Source organism: Homo sapiens, chromosome 21, assembly GCF_000001405.40.
Source record: "Homo sapiens chromosome 21, GRCh38.p14 Primary Assembly".
In the NCBI taxonomy this organism is placed as follows: domain Eukaryota; kingdom Metazoa; phylum Chordata; class Mammalia; order Primates; family Hominidae; genus Homo; species Homo sapiens.
Genome location: NC_000021.9, coordinates 41,459,310 through 41,474,853, shown reverse-complemented (window position 1 = coordinate 41,474,853; position 15,544 = coordinate 41,459,310). Strand labels below are relative to the sequence as shown.

The window sequence follows — 15,544 nt, the reverse complement described above, 5'->3', positions numbered from 1 at the left end:
CACCCCCTCACTCACCCCCTCACTCACCCCTTCACCCCCTCACTCACCACCTCACCCACCCCTCACCCACCCCCTCACTCACTCCCTCACCCCCTCACTCACCCCCTCACCCCCTCACTCACCCCCTCATCTCCTCACTCACCCCCTCACCTCCTCACTCACCCGCTCACCTCCTCACTCACCCCCTCGCCCCCTCACTCACCCCTCACCCCCTCACCCCCTCACTCACCCCTCACCCCCTCGCCCCCTCACTCACCCCCTCGCCCCCTCACTCACCCCTCACCCCCTCACCCCCTCACTCATCCCCTCACCTCCTCACTCACCCCCTCACCTCCTCACTCACCCCCTCACCTCCTCACTCACCCCCTCACCTCCTCACCCACCCCCTCACTCACTCCCTCACCCCCTCACCCCCTCACTCACCCCCTCACCTCCTCACTCACCCCCTCACCTCCTCACCCACCCCCTCACTCACTCCCTCACCCCCTCACCCCCTCACTCACCCCCTCACCTCCTCACTCACCCCCTCACCTCCTCACTCACCCCCTCACCTCCTCACTCATGCCCTCACCCCCTCACTCACCCTTTCACCTCCTTGCTCATCCCCTCACTTACCCCCTCACTTCGTCAATCACCCCCCCACCTCGTCAATCACCCCCTCACCTTTTCACTCACCCCCTCACTCACCCCCTTACTTCCTCACTTACCTCCTCACCCCCCACTCACCCCCTCACCCCCCACTCACCCCCTCACCCCACACTCACCCCCTCACCCCCCACTCACCCCCTCACCCCTCTCACCTCCTCACTCACCCCCTCACCTCCTCACTTATCCCCTCACCCCCTCAATTACCCCCTCACCCCCTCAATTACTCCCTCATCCTTTCAATTACCCACTCACCCCCTCACCTCCTCACTCCTCACTCACTCCCTCACTCACCCCTTCACCTTCTCACTCACCTCCTCGTCTCCTCACCCCCTCACTCACTTCCAGCCCTGCCCCTCCCATCTTCCTTTTCTTTGTGTGAGAATCTGGGGTCCCTGAGTGGTGTCAGTCCCTCCAAGACTCAAGGAGTCCCCAGGGCCTTGTTATCCAGAACACCCCCACCTGGGTCCCGGGAGACCCCATGGGATCACAGGAGTGTTCAGGGAAGTGGTGCTTCCTGGGTCTGGGTGGGCTGGAGGGGCATCCTCCCTTCCCCAAGAGGAGACCCCCAGGAGCCCCCTAAGTCCATCCCCAGCAGTGGTGCCCCTGCCCTGTCCTTGCAGCCTGGGAGACCCTTGGGAGGGGCGGGCGCTGGGTGGCTGGGCGGCTTCTGCTGGTCTCACCCCACTGGCCTCCTGTTTGTCATCCTCAGCCTGCGGGGTCAACTTGAACTCAAGCCGCCAGAGCAGGATTGTGGGCGGCGAGAGCGCGCTCCCGGGGGCCTGGCCCTGGCAGGTCAGCCTGCACGTCCAGAACGTCCACGTGTGCGGAGGCTCCATCATCACCCCCGAGTGGATCGTGACAGCCGCCCACTGCGTGGAAAAGTATGCCAGGGGCGGCGCGGGCCGGGTGGGGGCTCAGGGCTGGCCTACAGCCACCCTGTGACCTTGAGCAGGTCTCAACCCTTGCAGCCCCGGCATCCTTGTGTTTAAATGGGGAGAGTATTGCACCTGCTTCCTAGGGCTGTGAGACATCAAGTGCGCTCATGCCAGGCAGTGCATGGCTGTATGCACTGAGTGTCCCCTGCACGCAGGGCACAGGGTGCAGGTGGAACATTCTCCACGATGTCGCCGTGACCAGCGTTCCTTCCAGCCACTGTCCTCTGAGCTCTGTCCTGCCCTTGAGCAAAGCCCCTGCCCCCTGAGGTATCCTGTCTCCGGGACGCTAGTCCCAGGAGAGGGCACACTCAGACAGGCTTCAGGCTGCCCTGCTGGAAGGTCCCTGGGGTTAAGCGTTCTTGGCCACAGCATTGCTCATGCAGAGGGTTAGGTAGGGGTGAGGCTAGCCGTGACAGTATTAGCATTTATGGACGCTACCACCCCCTCCCCTTTTCCTTAAACACATAGTGCTTTTGGTCACATGCTGCTTTGGAGGAGGCCTCACTTGGCGGATGTATTTTTCTGCCTTAGAGAGAGGCTGAACTGGGTTTGACTGTTGGCCCAGCCCTCTCTTGCTGCGTGCCCTTAGACGATTCACTCAACGTCTCTGATCCATGGCATGTACAACTATAAGATGGGCATGCCCTTCTCCTCTCGGGCTGTTATGAAGGTCAAGGAAGCAAGGGCTGTTACCCAAGGGTGCTCCCTTCTCTCCCCCTCTTCACACCCCCAGGTGCTCTGGGCCCTCTAGGAACTGGGTTTCTCTCAAGGGCTGTTACCCAAGGGTGCTCCCTTCTCTCCCCCTCTTCACACCACTGGGTGCTCTGGGCCCACTAGGAGCTGGGATTCTCTTAAGAGGGAAACTCTTGGATAAAGGAAATGGTTTGATTGATATCGGACAAGTCTGTTCATTAGTATCCATTTATTAAGCACCTACCATGTGCCAGGAAATGCTTTGGCGTACAAAGGAAAATAAGGGCCAGTCCTGCTAGAAATGGCCTTGAAACCCCAGGGAGGGATGTCGGCCCATTGTGGGTGCTGCAGATTCCTTGAAGGTGATGCAAGAGCCAGAAAGAAGGATGATGTGGGGGGCTGAGGCAGGGAGTCGGGGTTGGGGGAGTGTGGGGGAGAAGGGGAGACCGAGCACCTCTTCCACTATCTCCCTGTGTGGTTTTTGGTGAACCATCCTGCCTCTGGGTGTCTTGCCTCCAGCTTCTGACGTTGGAAGTTCATCCACTGAGAGCTCTGTGTTTATGGCTCTGAGATACTGAGTCCTTCTTCTCTCCCAGACCTCTTAACAATCCATGGCATTGGACGGCATTTGCGGGGATTTTGAGACAATCTTTCATGTTCTATGGAGCCGGATACCAAGTAGAAAAAGTGATTTCTCATCCAAATTATGACTCCAAGACCAAGAACAATGACATTGCGCTGATGAAGCTGCAGAAGCCTCTGACTTTCAACGGTACGTGTGGCTCAGGCTTGGCAAGCAGGTTGGCAGAATCTTAAAGAGATGTTGATTGGAAATGACACTTGTGCTATGCCAAATGGAAGGGAGGCATTTGCGTTGAGCGAGGGTAGCGTGCAGCGGGTGGCCAATGGGAGAGGCTCACAGAGGCTAAGAGCACCTGCCGCATTTTGGGGGAGGCAGCAGCCACCACATCTGTTCTGTACTGTACTGAGTGGTGGTGATTCAAGCCAGGCATGGAAAAGGCTAGAACAGGGCTTTCCCACTGCAGCACCCTTGACATCTGGGTGGTTCTCTGTTGTAGGGCTCTCTTGTGCCTTGTAGGATGTTTAACAGCGTCCCCAGCCTCTACCCACTGGAGGCCAGTAGCTACCAAGCTGTGACAACCAGTGTTGCCTGCTGACATTGCCAAACATCCGCTTTGAGGCAAAGTCACTTCCAGTTGAGAACTACTGGCCTAAAATGTGTAAAGATCCTTGATTTTTAAAGATACATTCTAAAACCAAGTTGCTTAATTCAGGACAAACATGCTTTCTCTTAGCCTCTTATTCGGTCCCACTCTGGTCCATCCAAGGGTCTGGAATGTTCTAGCCCCATGTGGATACAGAAGAAGCAAAACCTCAGCCCTCCCTACAGCATGTCTGTATTCACATTGGGAAATGGTTCACATATAGAAGAGCGAATGCCTGAGCAATGGCGTGGTGCCTCTGGGGCGAAAGCTGACTCCATTGACTCCATCGGCTTTTTGGCTGTTGCCTCCTGTGTGTCTTTCCCGTCTTGATCACCTGGAGATATGTAATTTTGGAAGCAGAGCTAGCAAATAATTCCTCTTATAAGCAGAGCTAGCAAATAATTCTACTTATAAGTAGCATAACGTCTTGCCTGCCAGAAGGAGAGGTCTGGCAGGGGGAGAAAGTGAGAATGTGGGACTTGTTGGGATGCAGGGTCCTCTGGGCAGGGTGGCCAGGGTGCCAGGCCCAGCAGCCTGCATGTGGGAAGGCCAGGTGGAGACATAGGTGATACCCGCCTGGCTCACTGTGTTTTCTCTTCTTGAAACAGACCTAGTGAAACCAGTGTGTCTGCCCAACCCAGGCATGATGCTGCAGCCAGAACAGCTCTGCTGGATTTCCGGGTGGGGGGCCACCGAGGAGAAAGGTGAGGCTGCTCCTGGGCACACAGGACTGCAGGGCCCACAGATGGAGCATTGGGTTCGGAAGTGGGAGGTCCAGGTTTTAATCCCAGTTCTACTACTCAATGACTGGATGACTTTGGTTGATTCCCCCAGTCCTTGTGCCTCAGTTTCTCCATCTGCTAAGTGGGAGAAATCCTGCCCAGCCTACCTAATACACTGTGTTCTTATCGTGATCACACAGAGCAGCATGTGGAATGGCTTTTGAAGTATCTGGGCCATACGAGTTTAGAGGTGCAGGATCTCCTGTGTTGCACTCATTGTGAGTTTAGAGCTGCCCTGGAGATCCCACCAAGGCCTGCGTGGCTGAGTGACAGGGGGCTTGGTGAGGACGGGCATCCTGGACCCATGGTGGCCACATCTAAGCCTGTCCTCTGCCCTGATAACCACAGAGAGAGGCTCTCTCCACCCACTTCCTTTGCAATCTGCATTTCTCTCTGACAGTCTTTCAAATGAAGGGAGCCTGGCTGCTTCATTTTTATGGAGGGTTGGAAGTGCTTAGTGGCAGGCACAAAGGTTCATTTTACATATTGTTTATATCCTTCTCAAAAGCGTCTAGGCCATACAGACAACAAATCCTTTCAAACAAGGGGAAAAGTACAAAGGTTGGGTGATTTCTGGGGAGCGTCAGGGAAGGTAGTGGGGGGCATCCTGGCTCCTCATCAGCAGAAACTTACTACAGTAGAGCCACAGGCTGGGCAAAAGACCTCATGGAATCCAAGATGAAGGGAATATCGACAAATATTTGTGCGCACCTGCACCTAGTACAGGCTGGGTGCTACTCAGGTGCTGGGAATGCAGAAGTGAACAGAGTAAGACAAATGTCTCTGCTGTCAGGAGCTTTACCTCTCTTCTGGATGTCGGTGGTGGGGACGGGGCAGGTGTGGTCAGACAGATGGGAGACAAACAACTGAGCGAGGTACTTCCAAACATCTGAGGGTGGGGATCACAAGGTCCCGGCTATTTTGAAGGGGTGGTCAGGAAAGGCTTCTCGGAAGAGGTGGCATTTGAGCTGAGACTCAAATGGCAAAAATGTGTACACATCAAAAAGGCTAGTGCATGTATCTTCAGGTGTGGTCAAGGGGCCAAGGAGGTGGGCTGGGGCCAGATTGCATAGGTCCTTGTGGATTATGGTGAAGACACCAGCTTCTCATCTGCTTGAGGTGGGGAGATCGTGAGCCGGGGAGTGCCATGATCTGGCAGCTGCGTGGGGAGTGGGGATGAATGGATGGAGACGAGGATGATGGTGACAAGTCCATTGCTGTGGTTCCTTGAGACAGGAAGCCAGCTCATAGCAGAGTGCGGGCGTGGATGTGAAGAGATGAGGGTACACTAGGGCTAGAGCCACCAGACTTACTGATGGGTTGCATGTCTGTGGGAGAGAGAGTGAGAAGTCAGGGACGATGGCTTTCCACTCTGTGGCTGAAGCCCCAGGGTGGCGGGTGGTGCCATTTTTCAAGCCAGGAAATATTGGTTGGTGAGAATTTGGGGTGGGAGAAGGTGTGACGGAGGGTTCTGGTTTTGCACACTAAGCCCACGGTGCCCAGAAGATGCCCGAGGGGAGGCAGCAAAGCGAGAGTGGGAAATGCAGAGGTGGCAAGTGCAGGCCGTGTCTTGAGAAGCTCTAATGTGCAGGGGAGCCGAGAAGCAGGCGGCCTAGGGAGGGTCACGTGTGCTCCAGAAGAGTGTGTGCATGCCAGAGGGGAAACAGGCGCCTGTGTGTCCTGGGTGGGGTTCAGTGAGGAGTGGGAAATTGGTTCAGCAGAACCAAGCCGTTGGGTGAATAAGAGGGGGATTCCATGGCACTGATAGAGCCCTATAGTTTCAGAGCTGGGAATTTCTTTCCCTGAAGCTGAACTCCAGAGCTGCATTCAGCACAGGCACCGCCAGTTGTAAGGAGAATCCAGGTTTCCCAGGAGAGGGGTTGGTGCTGGGATGAGCTGACCGGGGCAGGGCTGGAAAATAGGGCTGTGACCATCTGTGTAGTGCGTGTGGAGGTCTCAGGGAGGGAAGTGTGCTCTCCCTGCGAGAGCTGCAGGCAACACTGGGAGCTCAACAAGTCTCCCTGTCCTTAGGGAAGACCTCAGAAGTGCTGAACGCTGCCAAGGTGCTTCTCATTGAGACACAGAGATGCAACAGCAGATATGTCTATGACAACCTGATCACACCAGCCATGATCTGTGCCGGCTTCCTGCAGGGGAACGTCGATTCTTGCCAGGTAATTCAACATTTTTATTCTACCTTTGGTCCTTACCAGATCCTACTGAACCCCCCATGAGAGAGAGGGCATTCTTGGGGTCAGCAGAGCCTCCTCAGTGACACGGAGCCAGCTCGGGGCAGTCATGGGAAGTGACGGCCACAAACAGTGCGAACGCTTCTGGTGGCAGAAGGAAGTACAGTCAACAAATCACACACACCCTCTGAAAAACCGGTATTTGGTAAAAGTGCCAGTGGAACAGAAACAAGTATTTAGACTATTTTAAATTATGAACGGCAATTTATTTAGTAACTTTTAGCTTGAACAGATTAAAATTCAGGATGGGGGCTATCTCTTTGGGGGTTACATCTCTGTTACCATCACCCCTTGATGGTGGAGATTCGAAGCCCACACAGTCACTCGTAACTCACACTGCGACCCCCGCCCCCCAACTCCTCTAGGCCTGGTCAGTGGTGTGCGGCAGATTGTGACTTGATTTTCTGCTCTCTGTACCTTGCTGTGTCCCACAGGGTGACAGTGGAGGGCCTCTGGTCACTTCGAAGAACAATATCTGGTGGCTGATAGGGGATACAAGCTGGGGTTCTGGCTGTGCCAAAGCTTACAGACCAGGAGTGTACGGGAATGTGATGGTATTCACGGACTGGATTTATCGACAAATGAGGGTAACTATCCTGTCCTCCTTCTGACTGTGTTCTCCGATTCCTCGAGCCAAAGCCAGACATCTGTTAGGCGTGGTTCTGCTGCTGGAAGCTGACTGGTGACCACTGGTCAGCATGAAGCAAACTCTGCTTCCTCCAGCCACAGCCCCATCCCCCCAGTGTCCACCCATTGCCCATTGCCTCTCACTGGCTTCACTTGCATATTTCCCCTGGTGTTTGGATGAAAAGCGCTGGGGCTCAGCTTGTGTGAAATTCCTTGGTGCTCTGCCAACCACACTTCGTTCTGGCTCAGCTGACTCAGCTGTTCCACCCAGGCCACCTCACATCAAACTTTTTTTTTTTTTTTTTGAGATGGAGTCTCACTGTGTCGCCCAGGCTGGAGTGCAGTGGCACAATCTCGACTCACTGCAACCTTTGCCTCCTGGGTTCAAGTGATTCTCCTGCCTCAGCCTCCCAAGTAGCTGGGACTACAGGCATGCGCCACCACGCCCAGCTACTTTTTGTATTTTTAGTAGAGATGGGGTTTCTCCATGTTGGCCAGGCTGGTCTCGAAGCCCTGACCTCAGGTGATTCACCCACCTCAGCCTCCCACAGTGCTGGGATTACAAGTGTGAACCACGGTGCCCGGCCTCACATGAAACTTTTGATTTATAGAGAGCAGAGGGAAGAGCCGGCTGTGCCCATCCTTTTCTGGGGCCATCGAGTGGCTCCTGGGCAGCCCCCAAGGTTAGGAAGGGCAGGAGCAGCCAGGGTTCTCTGATGCCCCAGACTCAAGCACGAGGGAAGGTCTCAGGGGTTCCATGTGAGCCTCATGGATGTCTCTGCTTAGCAGAGCCCTGGCTTTGGGCATTGTCCAGATAGGGGGTGAGAACCAGATCTTCTCATCTCCAGGACCTCAGACGTATAGTTTTCTCAGATTTCTGTGCTTTCTGGGGCTGGGCTACTAGTGGAAGAAAGCAGTCTATTCTGTCTTCTCCCAAATCTCCCAGATGCCCAGTCTGTTGAAGGAGGAGCAGAACCAGGGGGCCTTTCCCGCTGAGGCCCGACCTGTGTCTCCTTCAAATGACACGCGGGACTCAGGGCCTTCCCATGACCATGGGGCCCAGGGGGCGTCACCTGGCCCAGGGCCCAGTGCTAGAAACAGATGACCCCAGGAGGAGGAGGCAGGGCAGGAGGGAAGCTGGCAGGGCTGGGATGGTCAGCCAGGCTGAGGGGCGGACTCGCACCAGGATGGAGCTAGGAAATGATCCAGGTGTGTTTGGCGGCTGCAGGTGGGTCCGCATGGCTGTGCAGGGAGGGAAGGGCTGCGTGGCAGGAGAGCAGCCGGGGGAGGCCCAGACTCTGCTGAAGAGATGCCTGTTGTGCCGGCCTCCACATCCGCTGCCCGCTCCTTCCGGAGCTCCTGCCCCGCCATGCTCAGCCTGACTCTGACCAACACGTTGGAGAGAAGAATGATCCCTTTGTGCTATTAAGCTTGCTTATTTGGTTTCTAAGTGCTTCATGCGAACCTAGAGGAAAAAATTATTTTCCACCTTTGTTTGTCTTAAGAAAATAACACACTTTTTTTTTTCCTATTTGAACAGGCAGACGGCTAATCCACATGGTCTTCGTCCTTGACGTCGTTTTACAAGAAAACAATGGGGCTGGTTTTGCTTCCCCGTGCATGATTTACTCTTAGAGATGATTCAGAGGTCACTTCATTTTTATTAAACAGTGAACTTGTCTGGCTTTGGCACTCTCTGCCATTCTGTGCAGGCTGCAGTGGCTCCCCTGCCCAGCCTGCTCTCCCTAACCCCTTGTCCGCAAGGGGTGATGGCCGGCTGGTTGTGGGCACTGGCGGTCAAGTGTGGAGGAGAGGGGTGGAGGCTGCCCCATTGAGATCTTCCTGCTGAGTCCTTTCCAGGGGCCAATTTTGGATGAGCATGGAGCTGTCACCTCTCAGCTGCTGGATGACTTGAGATGAAAAAGGAGAGACATGGAAAGGGAGACAGCCAGGTGGCACCTGCAGCGGCTGCCCTCTGGGGCCACTTGGTAGTGTCCCCAGCCTACCTCTCCACAAGGGGATTTTGCTGATGGGTTCTTAGAGCCTTAGCAGCCCTGGATGGTGGCCAGAAATAAAGGGACCAGCCCTTCATGGGTGGTGACGTGGTAGTCACTTGTAAGGGGAACAGAAACATTTTTGTTCTTATGGGGTGAGAATATAGACAGTGCCCTTGGTGCGAGGGAAGCAATTGAAAAGGAACTTGCCCTGAGCACTCCTGGTGCAGGTCTCCACCTGCACATTGGGTGGGGCTCCTGGGAGGGAGACTCAGCCTTCCTCCTCATCCTCCCTGACCCTGCTCCTAGCACCCTGGAGAGTGCACATGCCCCTTGGTCCTGGCAGGGCGCCAAGTCTGGCACCATGTTGGCCTCTTCAGGCCTGCTAGTCACTGGAAATTGAGGTCCATGGGGGAAATCAAGGATGCTCAGTTTAAGGTACACTGTTTCCATGTTATGTTTCTACACATTGCTACCTCAGTGCTCCTGGAAACTTAGCTTTTGATGTCTCCAAGTAGTCCACCTTCATTTAACTCTTTGAAACTGTATCATCTTTGCCAAGTAAGAGTGGTGGCCTATTTCAGCTGCTTTGACAAAATGACTGGCTCCTGACTTAACGTTCTATAAATGAATGTGCTGAAGCAAAGTGCCCATGGTGGCGGCGAAGAAGAGAAAGATGTGTTTTGTTTTGGACTCTCTGTGGTCCCTTCCAATGCTGTGGGTTTCCAACCAGGGGAAGGGTCCCTTTTGCATTGCCAAGTGCCATAACCATGAGCACTACTCTACCATGGTTCTGCCTCCTGGCCAAGCAGGCTGGTTTGCAAGAATGAAATGAATGATTCTACAGCTAGGACTTAACCTTGAAATGGAAAGTCATGCAATCCCATTTGCAGGATCTGTCTGTGCACATGCCTCTGTAGAGAGCAGCATTCCCAGGGACCTTGGAAACAGTTGGCACTGTAAGGTGCTTGCTCCCCAAGACACATCCTAAAAGGTGTTGTAATGGTGAAAACGTCTTCCTTCTTTATTGCCCCTTCTTATTTATGTGAACAACTGTTTGTCTTTTTTTGTATCTTTTTTAAACTGTAAAGTTCAATTGTGAAAATGAATATCATGCAAATAAATTATGCAATTTTTTTTTCAAAGTAACTACTGCATCTTTGAAGTTCTGCCTGGTGAGTAGGACCAGCCTCCATTTCCTTATAAGGGGGTGATGTTGAGGCTGCTGGTCAGAGGACCAAAGGTGAGGCAAGGCCAGACTTGGTGCTCCTGTGGTTGGTGCCCTCAGTTCCTGCAGCCTGTCCTGTTGGAGAGGTCCCTCAAATGACTCCTTCTTATTATTCTATTAGTCTGTTTCCATGCTCCTAATAAAGACATACCCAAGACTGCAATTTACAAAAGAAAGAAGTTTATTGGATTTACAATTCCACATGGCTGGGGAGGCCTCACAATCATGGCAGAAAGCAAGGAAGAGCAAATCACATCTTACATGGATGGCAGCAGGCAGGGAGAGAGTTTGTGCACAGAAACTCCCATTTTTTAAACCATCAGATCTTGTGAGACCCATTCACTATCACAAAAACAGCACAGGAAAGACCCACCCCCATGATTCAATTATCTCCTATCAGGTCCCTCCCACAACACATGGGAATTATGGGAGCTACAAGATGAGATTTGGGTGGGGACACAGAGCCAAACCATATCATTCTGCCCCTGCACCCCCCAAATCTCGTATCTTTACATTTCAAAACCAATCAGGTCTTCCCAACAGTCCCCCAAAATCTTAACTCATTTCAGCATTAAGTCAAAAGTCTACAGTCCAAAGTCTCATCCAACACAAGGCAAGTTGCTTCCACCTATGAGCCTGTGAAATCAAGAGCAAGTTAATTACTTCCTAGATACAACGGGGGTACAGGCATTGGGTGAATACAGCCATTCCAAATGGGAGAAATTGGCCAAAATAAAGGGGCTGCAGGCCCCTTAAAAGTCCAAAATCCAGCAGGGCAGTCAAATCTTAAAGCACCAAAATGACCTCCTTTGACTCCATCTGTCATATCCAGGTCACACTGATGCAAGAGGTGGGTTCCCATGGTCTGGGGCAGCTCCACCTCTGTGACTTCGCAAGGTATAGCTTCCTTCCTGGCTGCATCATGGGCTGGTGTTGAGGGTCTGCAGCTTTTCCAGGCACATGGTGCAAGCTGTTGGTGGATCTACCATTCTGGGGTCTGGAGAATGGTGGCCCTCTTCTCACAGCTCCACTAGGCAGTGCCCCAGTAGGGACTGTGTAGGGGCTCCAACCCCACATTTCCCTTCTGCACTGCCCTAGCAGAGGTTCTCCATAAGGGCCCCACCCTGCAGCAAACTTCTGCCTGGGCATCTATGCGTTTCCATACATCTTCTGAAATCTAGGCAGAAGTTCCCAAATCTCAATCCTTGACTTCTGTGCACTGGCAGGCTCAACATCACATGGAAGCTGCCAAGGCTTAAGGCTTGCAACCTCTGAAGCCACAGCCCAAGCTCTATTTTGGCCCCTTTCAGCCATGGCTGGAGTGGCTAGGATGCAGGGCATCAAGTCTCTAGGCTGCATACAGCACAAGGACCCTGGGCCTGGCCCATGAAACCACTTTTTCTTCCTAGGCCTCTGGGCCTGTTATGGGAGGGGCTTCTGTGAAAACCTCTGACATGCCCTGGAGACACTTTCTCCATTGTCTTGGGGATTAACATTCAGCTCCTCATTACTTATGCAAATTTCTGCAGCTGACTTGAATTTCTACTCAGAAAATGGGATTTTCTTTTCTATTGCATTGTCAGGCTGCAACTTTTCCAAACTTTTATGCTGTTTCCCTTTTGAAACTGAATGCCTTTAACAGCACCCAAGTCTCTACTTGAATGATTTGCTGCTTAGAAATTTCTTACACCAAATACCCTAAATCATCTCTCTCAAGTTCAAAGTTCCACAAATCTCTAAGGCAGGAGCAAAATGCCACCAGTCTCTTTGCTAAAACATAACAAGAGTAACCTTTGCTCCGGTTACCAACAAGTTCCTCATCTCTTATCTGAGAGCACCTCAGCCTGAATTTCATTGTCCATATCATTATCAGCATTTTTGTCAAAGCCATTCAAAAGGCTGGGCGTGGTGGCTCACCCCTGTACTCCCAGCATTTTGGGAGGCCAAGGCAGGCAGATCACCTGATGTCAAAAGTTCAAGACCAGCCTGGCCAACATGGTGAAACCCCATCTCTACAAAAATACAAAAAGTAGCCAGGCATGATGGTAGGTGCCCATGATCTACTGTAAGCTACTCAGGAGGCTGAGGCAGGAGAATTGCTTGAACCAGGGAAGTGGAGGTTCCAGTGAGCTGAGATTGTGCCAGTGCACTCCAGCCTAAGCAACAGAAAGAGACTCTATCTAATTAAAAAAAAAAAAAAGACATTCAACAAGTCTCTAGGGAGTTCTAAACTTGCCCACGTTTTCCTGTTTTCTTCTGAGCCCTCCAGACTGTTCCAGCCTCTGCCTGTTACCCAGTTCCAAAGTTGCTTCCACATTTTCAGGTATCTTTACAGCAGTGCCCCACTCTACTGGTACCAATTTACTGTATTAGTCCATTTCTGCGCTGCTGATAAAGACATACCCAAGACTGGGCAATTTACAAAAGAAAGAGGTTTATTGGACTTGCAGTCTCACATGGCTGGGGAGGCCTCACAATCACGGTGGAAGGCAAGGAGGAGCAAGTCACATCTCACATGGATGGCACCACAGCATTTATTAAGCACCTGCAGCATGACAGACCCTGGGTTCCAGAAAACTGGGGCTTTCTACTTTGGTTTGTTCAATACACTCCTGGCCCTGTCATTGCTCTGCTCCTAACTCAGCCCCATCCTATGGGGTCCCCTGAGCCCCAGATGTGCCTGGAGTGAAGGTCCCTGAGCAGACATCATTATAATCCTGTCTGTTCTGCACAGGTCAATGGACCATTGAGCCAGTGCTTATGTTACTGGTGGTGAGTGTCCAGGTTCTTGGTGTCTTGAACAAAGAATTAGGCAGAACACACAAACAAAGCAAGAAAAGAATGAAGCAACAAAAGCAAAGATGTATTGAAAATGAAAGTACACACCACAGGGTGGGAGCGGCCCGAGCCTAGGGGCTCAATGGCCCCATTACAGTTTTTGGGGGGTTTAAATACCCTCTAGAGGTTTCCATTGGTTACTTTGGGGGCCCTATGTAAATGAAGAGGATAAAGTAAAGTTACAAAGTCATTTACTCGGCATACTCCCTGTGGAGGGGATAGTCCCTGTTAGAGTTGAAGTGTGAATCAGCCTTACATTCCTGCCTCCAGACTCGATTTTCCTGCCTCACTTACAGGGCAGGCCACGGAAGCCGGAGAGCAGGGTGTGATGCCAGCGCTGCCCGTCATGGCTGGGAATGGAGGGGTGGGTAGGGAGGGGCAGTTCCATTGCTTGCCTGAACTCAGGGCCCCTCTAAGTGCAGGAAGGAGTCACACAAAGTGGTCTCCAGGGCTCTCTCCCAGTTCTGGCCGCTGGGGCCACTCCCCTCTCGGCTCTGGATGACTAGTTAGGACAGGCCTGGGGGATCACCACACATGTTCATTTTGGCTGAAAGGAACATCCTTGCGGGCACCTTGGGGCATCCCCAGCAGGTTCACTCTGCTGGGGAAATTGAAATTGCTGTTCTCTGGGACACATACTGTCAACTTTCTTCCTCCATCCTCTCTGGTTATCACTAGCAAAATTCTAACAACAGCAAAATAGAATCCTGTGCAACACTTTGACACCTCTGACTCTGTTTCCCGTGCAGCAGAAACTTAAGGCAAGTGGAAGACTGATTTGGGTGGTGGTGGAAGGAAGGGACGTCTTGTAGTGGAGAAGTTTCCCAGGCCTGCCACGAGAGGGCACCTGCCTCATGGAAGGGCCGAGCTGTCTGATGCACCAACACAGCCAGAGGACCTGGGCCATGTCCACTGCGAGAACGCGTGCCTAGTATTGAATTAAGAATGTTTGGATCCACCCTGCCTTACTCTTGCAAACCTCTGTGTGTGTGTTGGTGTCGTCTCTCCCTTAAGCATGAGTCAAACTGATCACCCTCTGTTAACAGTAGATCAAGTCAACCTGCAGGTGCACTTCAGCACCTGGGGGAACCATAAAGTTGCTGCCCAGCGGCAGCTGCTGACCTGGGCTTGTGAAATGTCCACTGCTCTCCGGACATCCTCTCTTATAAATGTATTCTCAAACTTCCCGAAGAATTGAAAATTACACAGTCCCAAGAGTCAGAAGAGATCTGGGATGGGGGGGCGTGGTCCAGAGGGGAGAGGATGGTGTTGCTGGTCCAGCCCCCACCCCCAACCTGACAAGCAGCTGTGCAGCTTGGCCTGATGCCCCCACTGCCTGGGACCTCACAGCTCTTGAGGAAGCCATGCCATCCGGGGGCCCCTCTGTAGAAAGTACCCCCATTCCCCACACTGATCATCTAGAATATACCTCCCCAGAGGATGTCACACCTTGGTGCTCACACTTCATCTCTCTTGTTGCCTTTTGGCCTTCTCTTTCCTAGGCTGGGGCAATCCTGATCCTTCAACTCTCCCCTTAAGGGACAGAGTGTCCGGTCCTCTCCTGCCCCATCCATCTAGTCCACTGTTCGATTTCCTGCCCTTGAGCCTGCCCTGGCCTCATGGTGAGGAGGCCCAGCAGCAGCACTGATTGGGAGCCATGGTTCTCAGAGTCAGGGCGTAGGAGTGTGGCTCGAGTCTCCCCCAACCAGGCTAGACCAGAGAACTTCAGTCAGGTTCTCCTCCAAGGTTAGTGTTCCGCCTTCTCTGCTTCCCAGACCGCTCCCCCAGCCACAGCCTCTGCAGGTAAAGTCCCACTGGGAAACCTTTTTTTTTCCCTGAGATGGAGTCTTGCTCTGTAGCCCAGGCTGGAGTGCAGTGGCACGATCTGGGCTCACTGCAACCTCCACCTCCCGGGTTTAAGCAATTCTCATGTCTCAGCCTCCTGAGTAGCTGGGACTATAGGCACACGCCACCACACCCAGCTAATTTTTGTATTTTTAGTAGAGACAGGGTTTCACCATATTGGTCAGGCTGGTCCCGAACTCCTGACCTCAGGTGATCCACCCGCCTCGGCCTCCCAAAGTGAAGGGATTACAGCGTGAGCCATCGCACCTGGCCTGGCAACCGCTTCCTGACTGGGCCTTGTGCTTTTCAACTCCATGCCAGGTGCCCAGTGACTCAACAAATTGGACATTTGATCAATGCACATTATTAAGTTAGCACCGTTGGCTTCATATTGTTTCATTTTTTAAAGTGTGTTCCCCCATTTCCCTCCAGTCTCTAGGAAATCATCAGACCCTGTTCTTTTGCTTGCTCCTACCTGG

General features: G+C 52.8%; 1 protein-coding gene across 3 annotated transcripts in view, besides 2 other annotated features; it reads left to right on the top strand.

Moving 5' to 3' along the window:
* Positions 1 to 10,549, top strand: part of TMPRSS2 (transmembrane serine protease 2) — a 43,854-nt gene extending 33,305 nt beyond the window's left edge. Inside the window, exons 9-14 of one of the 3 annotated variants that reach the window (NM_005656.4) lie at positions 1,358 to 1,529; positions 2,873 to 3,048; positions 4,111 to 4,206; positions 6,316 to 6,458; positions 6,968 to 7,120; positions 8,701 to 10,549. In NM_005656.4, the coding sequence (NP_005647.3) occupies positions 1,358 to 1,529; positions 2,873 to 3,048; positions 4,111 to 4,206; positions 6,316 to 6,458; positions 6,968 to 7,120; positions 8,701 to 8,712 (752 nt within the window). In that variant the 3' untranslated portion in view covers positions 8,713 to 10,549. The remainder of the gene's footprint in view (positions 1 to 1,357; positions 1,530 to 2,872; positions 3,049 to 4,110; positions 4,207 to 6,315; positions 6,459 to 6,967; positions 7,121 to 8,700) is intronic. The other 2 variants (NM_001382720.1, NM_001135099.1) reach the window with 2 other exon arrangements.
* Positions 14,141 to 14,340: an enhancer, noted in NCBI's record as "active region_18481". NCBI's record gives its function as "activates an Ori minimal core promoter by ATAC-STARR-seq in GM12878 lymphoblastoid cells {active_cell/tissue: GM12878}" and the evidence as "EXISTENCE:reporter gene assay evidence [ECO:0000049][PMID:35858748]".
* Positions 14,881 to 14,970: an enhancer, noted in NCBI's record as "active region_18480". NCBI's record gives its function as "activates an Ori minimal core promoter by ATAC-STARR-seq in GM12878 lymphoblastoid cells {active_cell/tissue: GM12878}" and the evidence as "EXISTENCE:reporter gene assay evidence [ECO:0000049][PMID:35858748]".